This window comes from Homo sapiens, chromosome 7 (assembly GCF_000001405.40).
Source record: "Homo sapiens chromosome 7, GRCh38.p14 Primary Assembly".
Classification (NCBI taxonomy): domain Eukaryota; kingdom Metazoa; phylum Chordata; class Mammalia; order Primates; family Hominidae; genus Homo; species Homo sapiens.
The window spans coordinates 2,949,996-2,971,346 of record NC_000007.14 but is presented as its reverse complement, the minus strand read 5'-3'; the positions used below and the strand labels follow the sequence as shown (position 1 = coordinate 2,971,346).

The 21,351-nt window shown below is 46.4% G+C and overlaps 1 protein-coding gene across 2 annotated transcripts in view, besides 2 other annotated features; it reads left to right on the top strand.

Moving 5' to 3' along the window:
• CARD11 (caspase recruitment domain family member 11) overlaps positions 1-21,351 on the top strand; it is a 137,726-nt gene that overhangs the window by 72,521 nt on the left and 43,854 nt on the right. For both annotated transcript variants that reach the window (NM_032415.7, NM_001324281.3), the window contains one exon: positions 12,716-12,847. In NM_032415.7, the coding sequence (NP_115791.3) occupies positions 12,841-12,847 (7 nt within the window). In that variant the 5' untranslated portion in view covers positions 12,716-12,840. The remainder of the gene's footprint in view (positions 1-12,715; positions 12,848-21,351) is intronic.
• Positions 3,544-3,726: a silencer, noted in NCBI's record as "fragment chr7:3007255-3007437 (GRCh37/hg19 assembly coordinates)". NCBI's record gives its function as "represses an EF-1alpha promoter that drives an FKBP-Casp9 reporter gene in an ReSE screen in HepG2 liver carcinoma cells {active_cell/tissue: HepG2}" and the evidence as "EXISTENCE:reporter gene assay evidence [ECO:0000049][PMID:32094911]".
• Positions 16,605-16,664: a silencer, noted in NCBI's record as "silent region_17890". NCBI's record gives its function as "represses an Ori minimal core promoter by ATAC-STARR-seq in GM12878 lymphoblastoid cells {active_cell/tissue: GM12878}" and the evidence as "EXISTENCE:reporter gene assay evidence [ECO:0000049][PMID:35858748]".

The following is a 21,351-nucleotide window of genomic DNA, read 5'->3' as shown; positions in this document are numbered from 1 at the left end:
TTTATCCATTTGCAGGGTATTTCATAAAATAGATGGCCCCACAACTAGAAATGCATTTTAAATTGATCGCTGCGTCTATTCTAAGTGTATTTCCAGCGTGTCTTATAAATGCAGAAGGCAGCGACGGGTGCCTGGTGTGTGTCCCGCTGCCTGCTGACTCCTCAAAGGAAGGTTGTGATGCGGTCGGGGCCAGCTCTGGGCCCTGGAGATAACTTCATTTGAGCTGCAGGTAGTGACCCGAGTGATCACGCTGCGTTCCCTTGGTAAATCACTCTGCTGTAGCTCTGATTTGCATTCTCTGAGCTAATGCTTGACTTTAAAATACGGGCCAGACTGGGCTGGGATCCAGGTTTCTTTCTTCCCTCCAATCTCCTTCTCACTGCTCCTCAGCCCCGATCTTTCTTGCCACTTCTTTCTTCTTCCAATGAGTCTGGGGGCCCTTTTGACCATCTTTCCTCTGAGTTTCTCTTTCCCTGCCTCTTTTTCTCGGCTCTGAACCTCCCATATTTGTCATGTGTGGCATATTCTTACTTATTTTTCATTCCCTGAGTCTTCTCATAGTCAAAGTTTCTTCGATTTTTTTGACTTCTGCATCTAGGAATGCTTTTTGAATCTAATGAGTGAGTCAGTGAGTGAGTGAGCACATGAATGAATGAGTAAATGAATTAATTAATGAGCAGATGAGTGAGTGAATGAGTGGATGAGTGATTGAGTGAATGAATGTGTGCATTAGTGAGTAAATGATTGAGTGAATAAATGAATGAGTGAATGTGTGAGTGAGAGAACGAACACGTGAATCCGTGAGTGAGTGAGTGAATGAGTGACTGAGGGGTGAATGAGTGAGTGAATGGATGAGTGAATGCATGAGTGAGTGAGTGCATGAGTGAGTGAATCAGTGAATGGATGAGTGAGTGAATGAATGAGTGGATGAGTGAGTGAATGAGTGATTGAGTGAGAGTGAGTGAATGAGTGAATGAACGAGTGAATGGATGAGTGAATGCATGAGTGAGTGGATGAGTGAGTGAGTGGATGAATGAGTGGATGAGTGAGTGGATGTGTGAGTGAGTGAATGAGTGAATGGCTGGGTAAGTGGCCGAGTGAGTGAGTGAATGGATGAGTGAATGAATGGATGAGTGGATGAGTGAGTGAATGAGTTAATGGATGAGTGAGTGAATAAGTGAGTGATTGCATGAGTGAGTCAGTGGATAAGTGAGTAGATGCGTGAGTGAGTGGATGAGTGAATGAGTGAATGGATGAGTGAGTGGATGAGTGAGTGGATGAGTGAGTGAATGAGTGAATGGATGAGTGAGTGAATGAGTGAATGGATGAGTGAATGCATGAGTGAATAAGTGGATGAGTGAGTGAATGAATGAGTGAATAGATGAATGAGTGGATGAGTGAGTGGATGTGTGAGTGAGTGAATGAGTGAATGGCTGAGTGAGTGGATGAGTGAGTGAATGGATGAGTGGATGAGTGAGTGAATGAGTTAATGGATGAGTGAGTGAATAAGTGAGTGAATGCATGAGTGAGTCAGTGGATAAGTGAGTAGATGTGTGAGTGAGTGGAAGAGTGAGTGAGTGAATGGAAGAGTGATTGAATGAGTGAGTGAGTGAATGGATGAATGAGTGAATGGATGTGTGAGTGAATGAATGAGTGGGTGAGCGAGTAAATGAGTGAGTAAATGAGTGAATGAGTGAGTGAGTGAATGAGTGAGTGAATGAGTGGATGAGTGAGTAAATGAGTGAGTGAATGAGTGAGTGAATGTGCGAGCGAGTGGATGTGTGGGTGGATGAATGAGTGGGTGAATGAGTGAGTGCATGGGAGAGTGAGCGAGTGGATGAGTGAGTAAATGAATGAGTGAGTGAGTGGATGAGTGAGTGAGTGAATGAATGAGTGAATGAGTGAATGGATGAGTGAGTGAATGAGTGAGTGAATGGATGAGTGAGTCAGTCAGTGAATGGATGAATGAGTGAATGGATGTGTGAGTGAATGAATGAGTAGATGAGCGAGTAAATGAGTGAGTGAATGAGTGGATGAGTGAGTGAATGAGTGGATGAGTGAGTGAATGAGTGAGTGAGTGAATGAGTGGATGAGTGAGTAAATGAGTGAGTGCATGGGAGAGTGAGCGAGTGGATGAGTGAGTAAATGAATGAGTGAGTGGATGAGTGAGTAAATGAGTGAATGAGTGGATGAGTGAGTAAATGAATGAGTGAATGAATGAGTGAATGAGTGAGTGGGAGTGAATGCGCGAGTGAGTGAATGTGCAAGTGAGTGAGTGGGACCCCCGTCCCCGCAGTCTGTCTGGAATATCCTCATTACCACGCTTTGCACACTTTCCCGGAGTTGACTCCAAAGGCATCTGGCCTGGCCTGGCCTAACCCTGTCGCGGGCTCCTTGGGGGTTCTAGTGGCAGCCGAGTAAGATGAGAAGAAGATAATGAGGAAGATTTAAGGTCTGACTGTGGCTCCCACAGACTCTTCCACCTCTGGTTCTTGGCCACTCTCCGAGTGGGACTCATTTGATGATACTGGTCACCTTTTCTACAAAACTCAAGGGCCCAACTCTTTCACTGAGAAGATTCTCGGGGCTGCTGAGCCCACCCCACACATTCACATGCCAGCCCCAAGGGCTCCCAGGGGCAGGATTTTGCTTTCTAATGCCCAAGTCTCTGGCAGTGCCTGTCCCATGTCTGATTTTGCACCTTCCACACTGTCTCTCAACTTCCCAAAACCAAAGAGTAACACAATTTCCTCCCACCTCTCCTCCTCCCGAATTTAATGTATGCACAAAAACACAGGCTCTGTATCCCACCTTGCTGTTGCTTTCGTGTCAAGTCTCCAGGCTAAACGCTACAGGAGACTTGTTTATTCCGTCACGCTACAAAGGAGGGCCAGGTGCTGTGCTGGAAAGGCACCGATGGGTGCACGTGAGGCCTCCTCCAAGGAATTCACGACAGGTGTATGAACCAGCAATGGCAAAAGAGGGTAAGAAGCAGAAACTGGGCCCAGCAGGCTGCCTCATGCCTGAAATCCCAGCACTTTGGGAGGCCAAGGCAAGAGGATCCCTTGAAGCCAAGAGTTCAAGACCAGACTGGGCAACATAGCAAGAACCCCCCGCCCCCCCATCTCTTAAAAAACAAAGTTATCCAGGGGTGGTGGTGTGCCCCTGTAATACCAGTGCTCTGGGAGGCTGTGATGGGAGGATCACTTGAGCCCAGGAGTTGGAGGCTGCAGTGAGCTATGATCATGCCACTGCACTCCAGCCTGGATGACAGAGCAAGACCCCATCTGTAAAAATAAAATTTTTAATTTAAAAAAGAAGTGGTACAAAAATTTGTTCTGTGCCCAGTGCACAGGTGGCATGAAGGAAGGGTCCTCACTCCACTGGAGCAGTCAGACAAAACTGCAGAGTAGCCGTCCCGGGCCCGTCACAGCACTTAAGCTCACTGCATTCTCCTTGGTGGACTGACACTGAATGTAATTCTGTGACAACAGAATGTTTTTATCATAAAACATCAGAGCACTCAATTCGGCAAATATTTATTAAAAACCCACTCCATACCGGATAGCGTGGCCCAAGCAAATCACGACACTGACATAGAGAACTCAAAGAGGGACAATGGGCTCCCCAAGTTGCTTCCAACCCAGGCAATAAAATGCCAGCCAGGACACTGAAGAACACAGCAATGAAACAAATTCCATCCAGTGCACAGGTGAAGCCAAGAGCCCATCTTTGAAAGCACAGAGAGGTCTTGAATTGGAATCAGCTGGTGGTCGCAACTGCTTATCAGTCTCCTGTGGGGAAGGCGGATTTGCTGACCAGGCTTCAGAGGCAACAGCAGGAGAGAAGAGTATTTCGTTATCAAGGCCAGGGTTTCCCCCTAGCCAGTCCTGTAGCAAGTCTGACTTGACAGGAGTCCGAGAGGGTGACCTCACTCTGGGATTTGGGTCTGGCTGAGTGGTCCCATCATGGCTCCTGGTCGCCATCAGAGCTGTCAATCAGCCCTGTGCACGGACCTGAAATCCAGGTGGGGCCAATGCTCATAAAAAGTGGACGTGATGAATTGATGTGCATTTCAGAACAATTTAAATCTGTCACTCCTAATTGGGCTTCTATCAAAAGCTTTTCTGCGGTGGCGTTAGAAAAAAGGAGACCCAGGAAGCAGGGTCCTTTGGGAATACTAGGGGTGCGTGCCCTTCCACACTTCATCGTCTTGGTACAAATCTGAAGCCACTGCAGAATAAGTGTGGATATATTCCGGGGGGCTGGGGGATGATATGTGGTGGTGCCCTTGGTCTCTGGGTTCAGGGCACACCAGCCCCTCCTAACTTCCTACTGATGCTCTCGCCTTCCCTAAAAAGGAATCAAGATGAGACATTTTTATCTTCAGGAGCCATTGGCCCTTTGCCTGAGTCAGCTAAAAATGATGTGGCCTCTTGGGGAGCTTCAGGTATGAATATTAGAGGCAGTCTGGTGCCTGAGGGGATGCTTGGGGTGGCGGGCAGTGCTCTGGACCAAGGGACTAGGCCTTGCCGGGGATGGTGGCCGGGAAGCTCGGCTGTAATGTGACATGGGGAGGAGGTAGGGTGCCTATGGAAGAGTGAGAGCTGATGCAAGGGGAGATGCAGCCCAGGGGATAAGGCAGAGGCTGGAGAAGTGACAGCATTGACTGCACAGTGAGGGGCATGCTGGGGATACAAAGCAGGGCCACAGAAGGCGGGTGAGATAAATCATCCTGCCTACACACTGAAAGCTGGGAGTGGTTAAACCAATGGCTGAGGGTGTCGTCCGTGAGTTACAATTTCCTGGGCGATCCTTATCTCCTCATGGTACTGCTCACCCCTCAGAGCTGCACCATTTGTTTCTGTCCGCCGCAGCACTTTAGACACGGATAGTATTAAATACTTAGTTCTTATTGACCACTTGCCAACTTTGGTTTTGTCTCTAGGAAAAAAGAATGGGAAGGAATAGATCGATAAGCGGGTTGCTCTGATTTCAGGGATCAGGGGTCTGTGGCCAGGACCAATATAACTTAGAAAGTGTGCGTTGTATGTGGCACTTGTATCTGTTAGGACTGTTTGCAGCTGCAAATAATAGAAACAGAATCAGATTTTCTGCCTACTAGGGGTTTTACTCTTCTCATGGACCAAGAATTCAAAGGTTAGCTGTCCAGGGTTGTCATCAATGACCTGAGGTTCTTATAGCATCCTAGTCAGACATCCTTAGAGCCTGGCCTAGTCTTCACTGTCACAAAATAGCTGCTATGCCTCCAGGCATCACACCCACATTCCAGGTAGGAAGAGAAGGACAAGTAAAGGGCTCTTCTCATCTGAAATCTGCCTCCTTTTAAAGAGCCTTCCCATATGACTCATCCAGAAACTTCCACCTACATCTCACTGGCCAGAGTCGTGTCAAATAGCCACCTAGCTGCAAGGGATGCTGGAAATAACAGGTTTTTGGTTGGGCACAGTAATGTTCCCAAACAAAACTGGTGATCTCTTAATAAGTAAGAGAGAATGGCTATTGGGCCAGCAGCTGGCAATGTCTGCCACACCACTGCAAATTTAAAATGATAATTGCTACTTTCAAAATATGTATCAGTGAAGCTCTGCTGATTGCTCAACGCATGTTAATTGATGGGAAATATTATCATCTCAGGATTTTGGTTGAATGAGCTGAGATAGACAGAGGTTAAAAAGTTAACTGGGATACCAGGGAATAGTCTTGCAGGGGGAATTTTCTAGCTGCTTCTGCAAGTGCCCTCTTTGTAGGAATGAAGGGGATGGGGCAGGTGGTACATGAAGGGATGATTCTGGCTCTTTTCCATCAAGCTTTCATTTCAAGGCTGTAAACACTGAGTATAGCTGGAGTCCGGGCATGTATCCATGTCTCTTCAATCCTTTCTCATGGGCAGTAGATCATCCTTTTAAATAATCTCTTTCCCTTTTTTTGCTAGAAGCCCTTTCAATTAAGTGGAGGTTTCATTGGAATAATTAAACCCTGCATATTAAGCCATTCACTCCAATCATGCAGGCAAATCAATTAACCAGAGATGCATTCATCTAACTAACTGTTTATCTCCTCCTGTTTCCAGAGCTTTTGCACTGGGGCAGCTCTTGGAAAAAAGAGGTGTCTGCCCCCCCAAGACAGCTCATTTCCAGAGGGCTCCCTGGGTTTGAAGCAATGGGAAACTTAATGTTTATTTTATTCAAGATTTGATATTTATTTGTATTTATCCACTCAACAAATATATATATTGAACACCTACTAAGAATATAGCTCCATGCTAATTTCTCCTGGGGATACAGAGATGAGACAGACATGTGGCAAATTGCTGGAACTCTCTTTGAGTGCCTCAGTTTCCTCTTCTATAAAATAAGGAGCGTAGGAGTATCTACCTCATAGGGTTGTTTTGTGTATTAAATGAGATAATCGACATAGAGCATTTAGCATGATATCTGGCAAATAGCAACTCCATATGCCTTTTCAGAGGCAGCTATTCGAGTATACATTCCAGCAAAATGAGGGCTTAAATTAATAAAGAGGCTGGGCACGGTGGCTCACACCTATAATTCCAGAGCATAGTGAGGCCCTGTCTCTACACACAGACACACACACACACAGTAATAAAGAGGAAGATTTGGAGCTCAGGAAGAAAAGAATATAATTGGTTCGATTAGATGCTATGCTAAATAAACATTAGCTGGGATGATTGCTAGTTTAATTAAGCTCAGATGATGTGGAGTTCAGGGAGGCTCAGTAGGAATCTCTGCTCTTCCACTTATTAGCTGTGAGATCTCACTCTGTTATTGAACTCTCAGATCCTACCTTCTCATCCATAAAATGGGAGTAATAAAACCACCTAATTGAGCTTCTGTGAAGATTAATCAAGGTGATAGCCATGAAGAGCCAGGTACACAGTCAGCAGTTTCAGTTTAGGAAGGGGTGAGCTGACTCACAAGCATTGCAAAAGATGGAACGTGGTGTGTGTGCAAAGACTGAAGATAACTATTTTGTTCTTCATACTTAAATGCATTATCCATATTTCCAATGACTGACATGTGTTTTTTTAAGTTAGTTTTATTTTTTATCGAAGTCATACATGAGTCATGCAAAGGAGCAAAATACACCAGGCATGGTGGCTACGTCCGTAATTCCAGCACTTTGGGAGGCCAAGGCGGGTGGATCACTTGAGTCCAGGAATTCAAGACCAGCCTGGGCAATATGACAAAACCCCATCTCTATTATATTTTTAATTAAAAAATTGAAAATAAGAAAGTAAAATAGGCATGTAAGAAAAACATCACTCCCCAACCCAGCCATCATCATCCCCTAGTCCTGATCCCCAGAGGCAATCACCTCAAACTCTTCTTCAGGCCAAGCACAGTGGCTCATGCCTATAATCCCAGCACTTTGGGAGGCCCAGGCAGGTGGATCACTTAAGATCAGGAGTTTGAGACCAGCCTGGCCAACATGGTGAAACCCCGTCTCTACTAAATATACAAAAATTAGCCAGACATAGAGCATACCTGTAATCCCAGCTACTTGGGAGGCTGAGGCAGGAGAATCGCATGAACCTGGGAGGTGGAGGTTGCAGTGAGCCAAAATCGTGCCACTGCACTCCATCCTGGGTGACAGAGTGCGACTCCACCTAAAAACAAAAAACAAAACAAAAAAACCTCTTTTTCACTTTGTTTTCTTCTGTTATTTCTTCTGTTCTTTTTCACTAGGTCTAAATAATGTTTGCCTTGCTATTTGTTGATATGTTAGTTTTAAGACATTATCAACTGACATATTGTTAGATAGATGAGAATTTAGCTCTCTTTTACTAATAACCCATTCAAAGCACTTCCCCTTCCTCCATTTTCTCATTATATTAGGCCACAATCTGTTGTGTTGATTCATCTGTGGTGGTTATATTATTATAACTAGGTAAATATTGTTCATGTTAAGGCAAGTTGTGTGCTCTGATTTTCTTTCTTGTCTGCACTTTTGTTTTTTTCCTGGAGTTAATATTGCCTCTTTTTTTTTTCCTTTGCTTTTGCGCAGGGTTTCTTTTAAATATACTTATTCTTCATTGTTTCCCCATCTGACTCTCAGATCTGTCATTCGCCTAACAATATGATTTCCTGAATTATCAAATATATCAGAAAATCATTCTGTTTTTCCCCTGGCAACCTCTCCCTTGTGGACACTCCATGATCCTGTTGCAATCTTGGCCAATTGCTCCTGGCCGCTTTACTTTCACCCTGGGACTTTCCTTGATGCTTCCCCAAGTAGATTCCTTGCTTTGTGAGCTCCACACCTTCCTCTTTATTGTTTACTTCCTCATTTTGCTGCATCATATCCTCTAGTAGCTTCCAATGAAAAGGTGCCCAGGAGCAAATATTTGGAGTTCCTGCTTTTCTGAAAATAATTTTTATTCTATTTTCACACATAATAGTTTGGGTGGATATAGGATCCCAGGTAAAAAAGAATTTTCCATCAAAAATGTGAAGGCATTGCCTCATTTTCTCCGAGCTTCCAGTATTTGTATTGAGGAGTTTGATGGTATATTTGCTTCCATTCTTCTTCATGTGACCTGAGGTTTTCTCTCTGGAAACTTCTAGGGTCGTTTCTTATTCCCTGGTGGCCAGAATTTTTGCAACAATGTGCACTGAGAAGGTTCTTTTCAACTGATTGTACTAATATTCAAAGAGCCTATTAAGTCTGAAGTCTCATGTTTTTACACTCAGAGAATTCTCTAACTTTATTTCTCTGATAATTTCATCCCTTGATTTATAGTCTATCCCCAGAAGATATATAACAAGAAGACACAGTCTTTGTCATCTCTTTTTAGGATTTCTATTTATTGGATATTAGACCTCCTAAATTGATCTCATTCCCTCCCCTCTTATCTTCCTTCTCTTTAATTTTTTATTTAACTTTTCAGGAAATTTCCTCAACTTTATCTTCCAAGCCTTCTATTGATTTTAAATTTCTGCTGCCTTATTTTTAATTGCCAAGAACTTCTTGTTCTTTGATTGTTCCTCTTCTTAGCACCCTACCATTGCTTTATGGATGCAGTGCTTCATCTCATCTCTAAATGATTCTTAATTATCAGGTTATGTTTTGGGGGTTTCTTTTGAGACAGGGTATCGCTGTGTTGCTCAGGCTGGAATGCAGTGGTGCAAACATGGCTCACTGCAGCCTCAATCTCCTGGGGTCGAGCAATCCTCCTGACTCACCCTCCTGTGTAGCCAAGACTACAGGTACATATAACCATGCCCAGCTAATTTTTTGATTTTTTGTGGAGACAGTGTCTCGCTATATTGTTCAAACTGGCCTCGAATCCCTGGGCTCAAGCAATCCTCCCACCTCAGCTTCCCAAAGTACTGGGATTAGAGGTGTGAGCCACTGCACCGGCCAGGTTATGTTTTTTTAAAATTTTCTCTTATTCTGTGCATTGTCTGCTCCTAGCAGGTTCCTTGTGTCTGTGTGACCCTTTTGATCTCTGCCTTTCATGTGGAGACTTTCCTCAACCATCAAGTGATCCTTGCCTCTATTTATTCTTAAGTGAGAGGCCACAAAAACCCCAGCATTTCCCAGCCAGGCACGGTGGCTCACACCTGTAATCCCAGCATTTTGGGAGGCCAAGGCTGTTGGATCACCTGAGGTCAGGAGTTCGAGACCAGCCTGGCCAACATGGTAAAACCCCATCTCTACTAAAAATACAAAAATTAGCCGGGCATGGTGGCGCATGCCTGTAATCCCAGTTACTCAGGAGGCTGAGGCAGGAGAATCACTTGAACCCAGGAGGCAGAGGTTGCAGTGAGCAGAGATCACACCACTGCACTCCAGCCTGGGCAACGAGAGCAACACTCCATCTCAAAAAAAAGGAAAAAAAAGAAAAACTAACATTTCGTTTGTCAACTAGCAGGCTTCATAGTGGGGTGAATGGGCATTGATTGTACTTGGAAAACACCACCATGAGGAATCTACAGTGCATTAAGCAATTGATTCCTCTTTTGAGAAGCAATAGTTGTTTGTTTGTTTGTTTTGAGACGGAGTCTTGCTCTGTTGCCCAGGCTGGAGTGCAGTGGCGCGATTTCGACTCACTGAAAGCTCCGCCTCCCGGTTTCCCACCATTCTCCTGCCTCAGCCACTCGAGTAGCTGGGACTACGGGCACCCACCACCATGCCTGGCTAATTTTTCGTATTTTTAGTAGAGACAGGCTTTCACCATATTAGCCAGGACTGTCTCTATATCCTGACCTTGTGATCCTCCCGCCTCGGCTTCCCAAAGTGCTGGGATTACAGGCGCCCACCACCATACCCGGCTAATTTTTTTGCACTTTTAGTAGAGACGGGGTTTCACCATGTTAGCCAGGATAGGTTGGTCTCGATCTCCTGACCTCATGATCCACCCGCGTCAGCCTCCCAAAGTGCTGGGATTATAGGCGTGAGCCACCATGCCCAGCCCTCTCTAAGCTTTTGTGTTCTTGGTTGTAAGGTGGTGGTGGTGGTGGTGATGATGATACCACCTACCTCAAAGTGTTCTGGAGGTTCATCAGTGACGCCTAACAAAGTGTCTGGCACACACCGGATAGTCTGTAAGCACGAGGGATGGTGTTTGGTCAGTTGCATGTTACACCTATGAGCCAGTCTTGCAAGTGGTCAAGAGATTGACTTTTAATCCTAGAAATCTTCCCTGACCTGAGGACCAAGTTCCCAAATGCTGTCATCAAAATTCTAAAGTCAGAAACAGCCCAGCCTCAGTACTGGTTTTCTTGTGCCTCAGTTTTCCCAACCTACGTTGACATAGTGGGTAGGGGGTAGGGGTAGAACAGCAAGGGTAGTTGTTCAAGCCTGTTTCTCCTTTTTTTTTTTTTTTTTTTTTTTGAGACAGAGTTTCACTCTTGCAGCCCAGGCTGGAGTGCGACTGTGCGATCTCGGCTCACTGCAACCTCTGCCCCCAGCTCAAGCGATTCTCCTGCCTTAACCTCCCCAGTAGCTGGGACAACAGGCATGCGCCACACCCAGCTAATTTCTGTATTTTTAGTAGAGACGGAGCTTCGCCATGTTGGTCAGGCTGGTCTCAAACTCCCGACCTCAGCTGATCTGCCCACCTCGGCCTCCCAAACTGCTGGGATTACAGGCGTGAGCCACAGCACCCAGCCTTGTTTCTCCTTTCTTGTAATTAAAACCTTTCTTTTTTTTCTCTTTGAGACAGGGTCTTGCTCTGTCACCCCAGCTGGAGTACAGTGGCGCAATCATGGCTCACTGCAGCCTCAACCTCCTGGGCTCAAGCGATCTTCCCACCTCAGCCTCTTGAGTAGCTGAGACTGTAGGTGTACAGGCCAGATAATTTTTTTTTTTTTGTAGAGATAGGGTCTCGCTATGTTCCCCCAAGCTGGTCTTGAACCCCTGACCTCAAGCAATCCTCCCACTTCAGCTTTTCAAAGTGCTGGGATTACAGGCATAAGCCACCATGCCTGGCCACAATTAAAGCCTTCCTTACAATTTTTTAAAGCCTTTTTTTTTCTGATGATAAACACATTCTCTTTTTTAAGAAATGCAGACAGTGTCATTTCCCTTTGTGTTTGCTGACTGGCCTGTGGACTGCTTTGCTGCCTTTGCAGAGGCCCTTGGTTCTCTCATTCCCTTCCCCACCCAGCCCCAACCCCTGGCCCTGTCCCAGCCACAGAGCAGGGAGGCCGTGAGGAGACCAGGGAGATGGTGTCCTGCAGCGATGCCTGTCGCCACCACCTCCCCGGGGCTGAGGGCCTCTGACAGTTCACTCCAAGCCCAGCCGTTGCCCGACAGGAACAGCTTCTGTCAGCCCCGGGAGATCTCATGTCACCTGTGGTTAGTCTTCAAAGCCAAAACCAAGGAAGTCCTTGATTAAACATCAGCGGCCGAGGGTCCCTGTCACTCCTGAATGGAACTGTCCTAGAGCAGCTGCCTAAAGCCTGCCCCCCACCAGGTTCCAAGCAGCTTTGGGGACAGGCATAAGGCTCTTTCCACCGTACAAGGGTTTGAACCCCACCTTTCCCTCTTACCATGATTGTCCCACTGCACTCCAGCCTGGGCAACAGAGTGAGATCCTGGCCTCCTTTCTCCAGAAGGAGAACTGACCCTTCCCCAAAAAACCCAAACCCCCAGCTGGGCTCCTGGATGGCTGAGTGGGGCATTAGCGGTGGCCTCGTCAGTCACCATAAGGAACACTGCCCTTGGGAAATTACAGCGTGTGTGGGCTACCGCGTGTTCCTGCCCAAACCCATGGCAGGCTGGAGGCTAAAGACATAATTCACAGTGACGGGAACTCTTCGGGGTTTGGGAACGGGGTTTGCTGCTTTTGACCTAATGAATTAGCAGCTGATTAGAGCGGCTCCAGTCTGCAGAGGTTTCCATCAAAGCCTTTTCCATCAAAGATCTTCCACACTGGCCACGAGCATGCCCAAGGCTGCCATCTTCCCTCCTCCCCATCTCCAGGGGTGTCAGGACCTGTGTCAGTGGCCTCCCAGGCTGTCCACTCCCCAGGGTGGAACAGAAGCCCCTCTCCCCCTGCAGCCCCTGGTGTGGTCCACTCTGCCAGTGTCATCGAGGGTGACACGCCCCTCAGGACTTCCTGGCCTTTTCTTCCAAAGCAGAACATCTCTTTGATCCCAGAACGATTCCCTTTCTCTCCATCCTCCGCCTCCTGCTCCAAGGCTGATTATCTCTTCCTTTTCAGATCCCAAGCACTGCAAGTCCAGATGCAACGGGAGCCTGGCTCAAGGGACGACAAGATCCAGCCGGAAAGTGTAGAAGTCACACCCCAATGGCGGGATAGCAGCCCCTGTGTGTGAGCACCCCTCCATGCCAGGTACTCGGCATCTGTTATCCCCTCTATACCTCTCTATATATTATGGAGAGACAGGGTCTTGTTCTATCACTGCGGCTGGAGTGCAGTGATGTGATCATAACATACTGCAGCCCTCCACCTCCTTGGCTCAAGTGATCCTCCCATTTTAGCCTCCCAAGTAGCTGGGACCACAGGCACACACAACCAAATCTGGTGAATTTTTTAAATTTTTTGTAGAGACAGGGCCTTGCTCCGTTGCCCAGACTGGTCTCAAACTCCTGGCCTCAAGCGATCTCCCTGTCTCTGCCTCCCAAAGCACTGATTACAGGCAGGAGACACTGTGCCTGGCCGTTCCTTTATATTGGAAAAAACGCAAGTGATGGTGACCTGAGACTTGGCGGAGGGGCGGGAGTAGTGAAGGGAGAGAGGGGCAGAGATCAGGCTGTGACACCAGCCGGAGCTTGGGAGACCATCAGAGAAAAGGCTGGCAGGCCGGGGATGTAGTTGTGATAAGATTGAGGGGCTGGCAGAAAGCAAACCTTGCAGGGCCTGAAGATCAAGATCAAGATGCTGAACATGGGCCAGGCACAGTGGCTTACACCTGTAAATCCCAGCACTTTGGGAGGCCGAGGCAAGTGGATCATCTGAGGTCAAGAGTTCGAGACCAGCCTGGCCAACATGGTGAAACCCCGTCTCTACAAAAAATACAAAAATTAGCCAGGCATGGTGGTGGGCATCTGTAACCCCAGCTACTCAGGAGGCTGAGGCAGGAGAATCCTTGGACCCAGGAGGCCGAGGCTGCAGTGAGCCCAGATGGTGCCACTGCACTCCAGCCTGGGTGAAAGAGCAAGACTCTATCTCAAAAAAAAAAAAAAAAAAAAAAGTTGAACATGGCTTGGCATGGTGGTCATGCCTGTAATCCCAGCACTTTGGGAGTCCAAGGTGGGAAGATCACTCGAGCCCAGGAGTTTGAGACCAGCCTGGGCAACATAGCAAGACCCCATCTCTACAAAAATAATTTTTAAAATATTAGCTGGCCACGGTGGTGTTTGCCTGTGGTCCCAGCTACTCAGTAGGTGGAGGCAGGAGGATTGCTTGAGCTCAGGAGGCAGAGGCTGCTGTGAGCTGAGATCACGCCACGGCACTCCAGCCTGGGCAACAGCGCAGGACCCTATCTCAAGAAAAAAAAAAAAAAAAGATTGGAACTTTATCATAACAGCAAGAGGAAGCCACAGTAGAGGTCTTGAATGAGTAAGTCAGGACGTGAGGCCAGCAACTCTCATGGAATTCGTCCTCAGGTGGGTCACCTCCTGGTCCTTTGCTTCCCAGGGAAGGTGAGCAACACAGCCCTTTCTGTGGAGCCTAGCCTGGGGGTCTGGCACTTGCTTTTCAGCCATTTGCAAAGAGATTGGTGTGGCCTAGGACCTGTCTCACACTGGAAGTCAAACCCTGCCAAAGGTTGGGTTTGAGTTGCGAGTTGCGACAAGCTCCAGCTAAGACTTAGGTAGGGACGGGCCATCCAACCTGCCATGCTGTTAAAGTTCAGAGCCTCGGGGCCTCTGGGCACATTTCTGAGAAAACTGCCTTCAAAGAAACTGCCCAGAGCTTGACAGAGTCACTGGGTTCATCCCCGGTGATGAGGCTGAGTCATGCTGAGTTAGAGGGAAGTGTTAGAAGGGAAAATACATTTCGAATTGCGTCTGAGACATTTTTTTTCTTTTGAGGCTAGCTACACTCTCCATAGATTTTTTCCATGAAATATTTCATACATATAAATATGTATATATAATGTGTATCTATGAGGCAGAGAACAATGAAACAGACACTCATGTCCCCAGTTGAAGCATAACATAATTCCTTGTGTCACCAATGTCCTCAGGGGACCTTCCGAGGTCACATCTGTCTGGCTGCCCCTCCCCATGGGAAGCCACCATTCTGATTTTTATCAGTCCCCTTGTTTCTTGGTATAGTTTTGCCGTATATCCTTAACAGTAGGGTTTTGTTTTGTATGTTTAAAAAAAAAATTATTTTTAAGACAGGATTTTGCTCTGTCTCCCAGGCTGGAGTACAGTGGTATGATGATAGCTCCCTGCAGCCTCAACCTCCTGGCTTAAGCAATCCTTCCATCTCAGCCTTCTGGGTAGCTGGGACTACAAGCACGCAACCCCACACCCAGCTAAGTTTTTATTTTTTTGTAGAGATGGGGTCTTGCTATATCGTCCAGGCTGGCCTCAAACTCCCAGTCTCCCGTCTCGGCCTCCCAAAGTGCTGGGATTTCAGGCATGAGCCATCTCACTCAGCCTTGTTTTATATATATGTATATATTTTTTTAATTTTTTAGAGACAGGGTCTCACTTTTTCCCAGGCTGGAATGTAGTGGTGCCATCGTAGTTCATTGCAGCCTCGATCTCCTAGGCTCAAGTGATCCTCCCACCTCCCAAGCAGCTGGGACTACAGGCGTGTACCACCATGCCCAGCTACTTTGTTTTTATTTTTTGTAGAGATGGTGTCTCGCTGTGTTTTCCAGGCTGGTCTCAAACTTCTGGCCTCAAGCAATCCTCCCACCTGGGCCTCCCAAAGTGCTGAGATTATAGGCGTGAGCCACTGTGCCCAGCCTGTTTTTGAAGTACTTATAGACAGTTTTATACCATGCATCTTCTGTGGCTTGCTTTTTCACTCAGCATCATGTTCCTGAGGTCCACCTGTGCTTATGCACATGGTCATATTTCTTTCCATGTTCACTGCTGGGGAGTGCTCCAGCGTTGAATACACAGTGTATTTATCCACGCTGTTGGACGATGTCTGTGTGTGGTTTCTGGTTTTGGATACACGGTGCTGCTGTTGAACATTCTTGCACAGGTCTCTGGATGCACACGGGTAGAATTTCTCTAGGGATGATATCTAGAAGGGACTCCTGGCATGTATGTTCTGCATGTTCAACCCTACTAGGTGAAACCAACTTGTTTTCCAGCCCTTGCAGGTTTTTTTCATACAGTAACAAATGTCTGCAGGTGAGCCCCTGCTGGGAGCAGAGGTGCAATAGCGTCCTTACTCTGTCACTCCAGTGAGAACAGATGCCCCCAGATCATGGCTCCGGGTGTTTGTGATATGAACTCACCCTTCACCAGGCTACTTTATCTTGCCTGTCCCTCTGCCTAGCAAACTCCCACTCAAAATGCTCCCAGCTCTCTAAGGAGGGGGAACCTCAGGGAGGTCTTCACATGAAGGAGGCGTGGGCTGGAACCCCAGTTAGATTTGCTATGTGACCCTCAGCAAGTTGCTAGGGCTCTCTGGTTCTTGGTTTCCTTGTCTACAAAACAAGGGTGAGCACATCCATCTCTCAGAGCCGCTGTGGTCGTTAAATGAGATGATTTCTTTTTTTTTTTTTTTGGAGACAGAGTCTTGCTCTGTTGCCAGGGCTGGAGTGCAGTGGAACAATCTGGGTTCACTGCAAACTCTGCCTCCTGGGTTCAAGTGATTCTCTTGCCTCTGCCTCCTGAGTAGCTGGGACTACAGGCACCTGCCACCATGCTCAGCTGATGTTTTGTATTTTTAGAAGAGACGGGGTTTCGCTATGTTAGCCAGCCTGGTCTCGAACTCCTGACCTCAAGTGATCTGCCCACCTCGGCCTCCCAAAGTGCTGGGATTACAGGTGTAATCACCATGCCCAGCCAAATGAGATAATTTCTATAAAGGGTCAGGCACGGTGCCTGGCACGCGGGCAGCCCAGTGGGGAAGCACTTCCTGTTCTGCCAGCAGGGCGTGTGGCTGCCCTCTCTGCAGGGTTCCAGAGGATGCTGTTCCTCCCACCGGGGCTTGTGTGGGCGGCTGACACTTACCACCAACCTCTGAGCAGCTTGCAACCCAGGGTCTGTGTGCGAAACGTCTTTGCACCCTCTGTTCCCAGCACAGTGCTCAGCACAGAGCCAGTTCTCACTCAAGTCGGCTGAGGTTGAAGAGGCCCTTTCAGTCCAGGCACTCACAAACTGGTCCACTTTCCCAAGTTCAACTTCACCCCTGGTTGCTAAGCAACTGTGCTGCAAAGGGGCATTAACGATGGGACAGGTTTCAACGAGATCCAGGGTCTGTGATTTCACTGCATCTGAGGTAGAAGGGTCCCTTGGCCGGGCATGGTGGTGTGCGCCTATAGTCCCAGCTACTTAGGAGGCTGAGGTGGGAGGATTGCTGGAGCCTGGGAGCTCAAGGCTGCAGAGAGCTACAATGAGGTAGGAGGGTCCCTTTCATCTCTGCTCTGGAAAGAAGATTTGGCCCTAGTTATTTCCTGCTTAGCTGACAGGCCGCTGAGGTGGCTGCACCGGGTCACCCGGGGTCCCGGGAGGAAGGCTTTCTATGTCACTGAGCACTCTTGTAACACGTGGTTGGCATGTGCCAACTACAACCTCCTTGTTCATGAAAGCTGGTAAGAAATGCTGGTTGGTCTATCCAGACCTGCCTGTCTTCTTGCCTTGAGCTGCTGTTTAATTCCTAGGCCTGTGCCTTCTGACCCCGCAAAAGGTATAAGCTTCTTAACACCTGCCTTTCAGCTCTCTTGTGCATTCATGGTGCTGAGCAAGTCTTTGTACTAAGTAGATGTCTTTATTAGTTAGGAGGCTTTGGGCTGCAAATCACAGTAGACCCAACTTCACAAGGCTTGGGACAAAGAGCATTTATATCTTACAGGAGTCCAGAGGTGGGAGGGGCTCAGGATGGCAGAGCAGAGAGCTGGAAAGACCCTCGGTCCTTGATGTCACCTGAGGGATACAGGCTGAGGTGCAGTGACCCAAACCATCACATTCACCTTTACACACTCATAGCCAAAAGCCCAAGGACAAGGTGTCCCTGTTAAAGATCAAGGAAAACCTCCAGAACCGCTCCCAGTGCATGTTCCTGCAGGTTGCATGGCCAAAAGCACTTCACCTGCTTGTTTCTACGCTACTGGTAGAGACCAAACAAGGGCCACTCTTTGCAGCTCAAAAGATATTCAGCCTCCCTGAAGCATCAGACTGCCTGGCTTTTGGGGAAAAAAAAAAAAGGATTCTGTTAGCAGGAAGTCGGGGGTCGTGTGGAGAGACACCAGCAGTGCCTGCCACCTAGTCAATAAATAATTCGTTGAATAAAATTCTTAGGCTGTCCACTTCTTGAAAATAATAAAAGCAAGTACATTTTCCTTTGTGAATGCAAATGATCACGTGGTCATGTTGTCAGAATGAGCCATTGTTGTAGGCGTGTCTATGGTGTTGCTGGCTTTGACCCAGGTAGCCAGTGCCATGTGTTAGCAAAAGGCTCATAGAGGTCAGAACTTAAGGCAGTGAACTATGGAGGTTGTCATCTATACAAAGTTCATTGGATTCAATGGAGACCAAATCCTCATTTTTAATTACTTTAAATCCAACTTTTGCTCATGACAGAAAATAGATATTTTTACTCAAGGCACTTTGGTTGCAGGGAACAAAATCCCACTTGAAATATCTCAAATTGGCCAAGAGTGGTGGCTCATGACTGTAATCCCAGCACTTTGGGAGGCTGAGGTAGGAGGGTCATTTGAGGCCAGGAGTTTGAGACTAGCCTGGGCAAACTACAGCATGGTGGTGCATGCCTGTAGTGAGACCCTGTCTCTACAAAAAATGTTCAAAACAGCCAGGGGTGGAGGCACACACCTGTAGTCCTAACCACTCAGGAGGCTGAGGTGGGAGGATTGCTTGAGCCCAGGAGTTTGAGGCTGCCATGAGCTAGGATTGCCCCACTGCATTCCAGCCTGGGTGGCAGAGCAAAACCCTGTCTCTAAAAATGATAATTTTTAAAACAAATTTAATAGCTCAAATTAACGGGGAAGGTGGAAGGATACTGAAAGCCTACAACAAGGACCAGACACCACAGAAGGCCAAGGCTCATGAGGTTGGGAACTGAGTTATGCAGCAAGAGAGATGACCCCGGCCATCCGCTTCTCATGGAACCTCATGGGCTCACCATGGCACCACTCGGTAGACCAGCTTCCTCTGCTTGCTGGTTTCTTCTCTGCCCTCATAGCCTTGACCTGCCTGCATGTCTCCTCACCCTGGCTGAGCTCCAACCTCCATGGCTACACCAATGCCACCTTCTAGCTCAATTGCCCCCAGCACACTCACCCATCCCACCACTGTGAAATCCCCAGGTCCAGGAATTTGGCTGTGGCTAAAGAAGAACATCTCATAATGATAAAATGGTCAATCCACTGAGAAGCTATAAGAGTTATAAGCATATGCACCTATCAGAGCCCCAGATACATGAAGCAAAGATGGACAGAGCTGGAGGGAGAGATACACAATTCAACAATAAGAGTTGAAGACGTTGGCCAGGCGCAGTGGCTCATGCCTGTAGTCCCAGCACTTTGGGAGGCCGAGGCAGGCAGATCACCTGAGGTCAGGAGTTCGAGACCAGCCTGGCCAACATGGAGAAACCCCGTCTCTACTAAAAATACAAAATTAGCCAAGCATGGTGACAGGTGCCTGTAATCCCAGCTACTCAGGAGGCTGAGGCAGGAGAATCACTTGAACCCGGCAGGCAGAGGTTGCGGTGAACTGAGATCACGCCATTGCACTCCAGCCTGGGCAACAGAGTGAGATTCTGTCTCAAAAAAAAGAGTTGAAGACGTTATTACTTTACTTTGAATAATGGATAGAACAACTAGGCAGAAGATCAACAAATAAGAAACTTGTACAACACTATAAACAAACCAGACCTGGCTGGGCGTGGTGGCTTACACCTGTAATCCCAGCATTTTGGGAGGCCAAAGCAGGTGGATCACTTGAGGTCAGGAATTCGAGACCAGCCTGGCCAACATGGCAAAACCCTGTCTCTACTAAAAATACAAAAATTAGCCAGACATGCTGGCTGGAACCCAGGAAGCAGAAGTTGGAGTAAGCCAAGATTGCACCACTGCACTCCAGCCTTGGTGACAGAGGGAGGCTCTTTATCAAAAAAAAAAAAAAAAAAAAAAAAAAAAAAAAAACTAGACCTAACAGACATCTGTAGTCCACTCCATCTGACAGCAGCAGAATAATACATTAATCTATGAACTAAGTTCCTCCCAAAGTTAGTTTGGCCTCTGCCCAGGAATGAACGAGGACTGCTTGGAGGTTAGAAGCAAGATGGAATTGGTTAGGTCAGATCTCTTTCACTGTCAGAATTTTCTGTTATAACTTTTGCAAAGGCAGTTTTACCTCCTCCCTTGCAAAAGTAGAAAAAGAAGAGCTAACTAAACCTAAAGCAAGGAAAAGAAAGGAAATAATCAGGACTAGGGCAGAAGCAAATGAACCTGAGAATAGAAAAGGAATACAGAGAATTAATGAAACCAAAAGTTGGTTCTTTGATATATCGACAAAATAAGAGAGAAGATGCAAATTACTAGAATCAGAAATGAAAGGGGGGAAATTATAACTGAACTTATAGAGATAAAAAGAATTATGAAGGGAACTGTGAGCAATTGCTGCCAATAAATTAGATAACTTAGATATAATGGACAAATTCCTAGAAAGACACAAACTACTGAAACTGGCTCAAGACAAACAGAAAATATGAACAGACCTGTAATAAGTAAGGAGGCTGAATTTGTAAAAATAATCCACAAAGAAAAACCCATGCCCAGATGTCTTTACTTGTAAGTTCTACCAAACAAAAGAAAAATTAATATCAATTCTTAAAAGCCTCTTCCAAAAAGCAGAAGAGGAAGAAACACTTCCTAAATCATTCTGAGGCCAATATCAAAACCAGACAATGACATCACAGGAAAAGAAAACTACAGACCAATATCTCTTATGAATATGAATGCAAAAATCCTATTTTAAAAAACAAGTTAAATCCAGCAACATATAAAAAGCAACATATAAAAAGAATTATACACCCTGACTGTGTGGGATTTATGCCAGGAATACAAGGTTGGTTTAACATCTGAAAGTCAGGTAGTGTAACCCTATCAATACAATAAAAAACAAAAACCACATGGCAGCCTCAATAAATGCAGAAAAAGCATCTGACAAAATCGACAACCCTTTCAGGATAAAAACATTCAATAAACCAAGAAGGTAAGAAAACTTCCTCAACCTGATAAAGGACATCTATCTTAAAAACAAAAGCAAAAGCCTACAGCTAATGTCATACTTGACAGTGAAAGATTGGATGCTGTCCGCTAACATCAGTAACAAAGCAAGGATTCCTGCTGTTAACATTTCTATCTAACATTGTACTGGAGGTATTTTAGCCAGAGCAATTAGGCAAAGAAGAGAAATAAAAGGCACCCAGATTGGAAAAACAGAAGTAAAACTACCTTTATCTGCAAATGACATGATCTTATATATAGGCTATCATAAGATGTCTCTAACAAACTAACAGAACTAATAAATGATTTCACAAGGTTGCAGAATACAAGGTCAATATACAAAAATAAATTATATATCTATAGACCAGCAATGAATATCCCACAAATGAAATTAAGAAAAAAACTCCCATTTATAATGTCATCAAATTAATGAAATACTTAGGAATATATT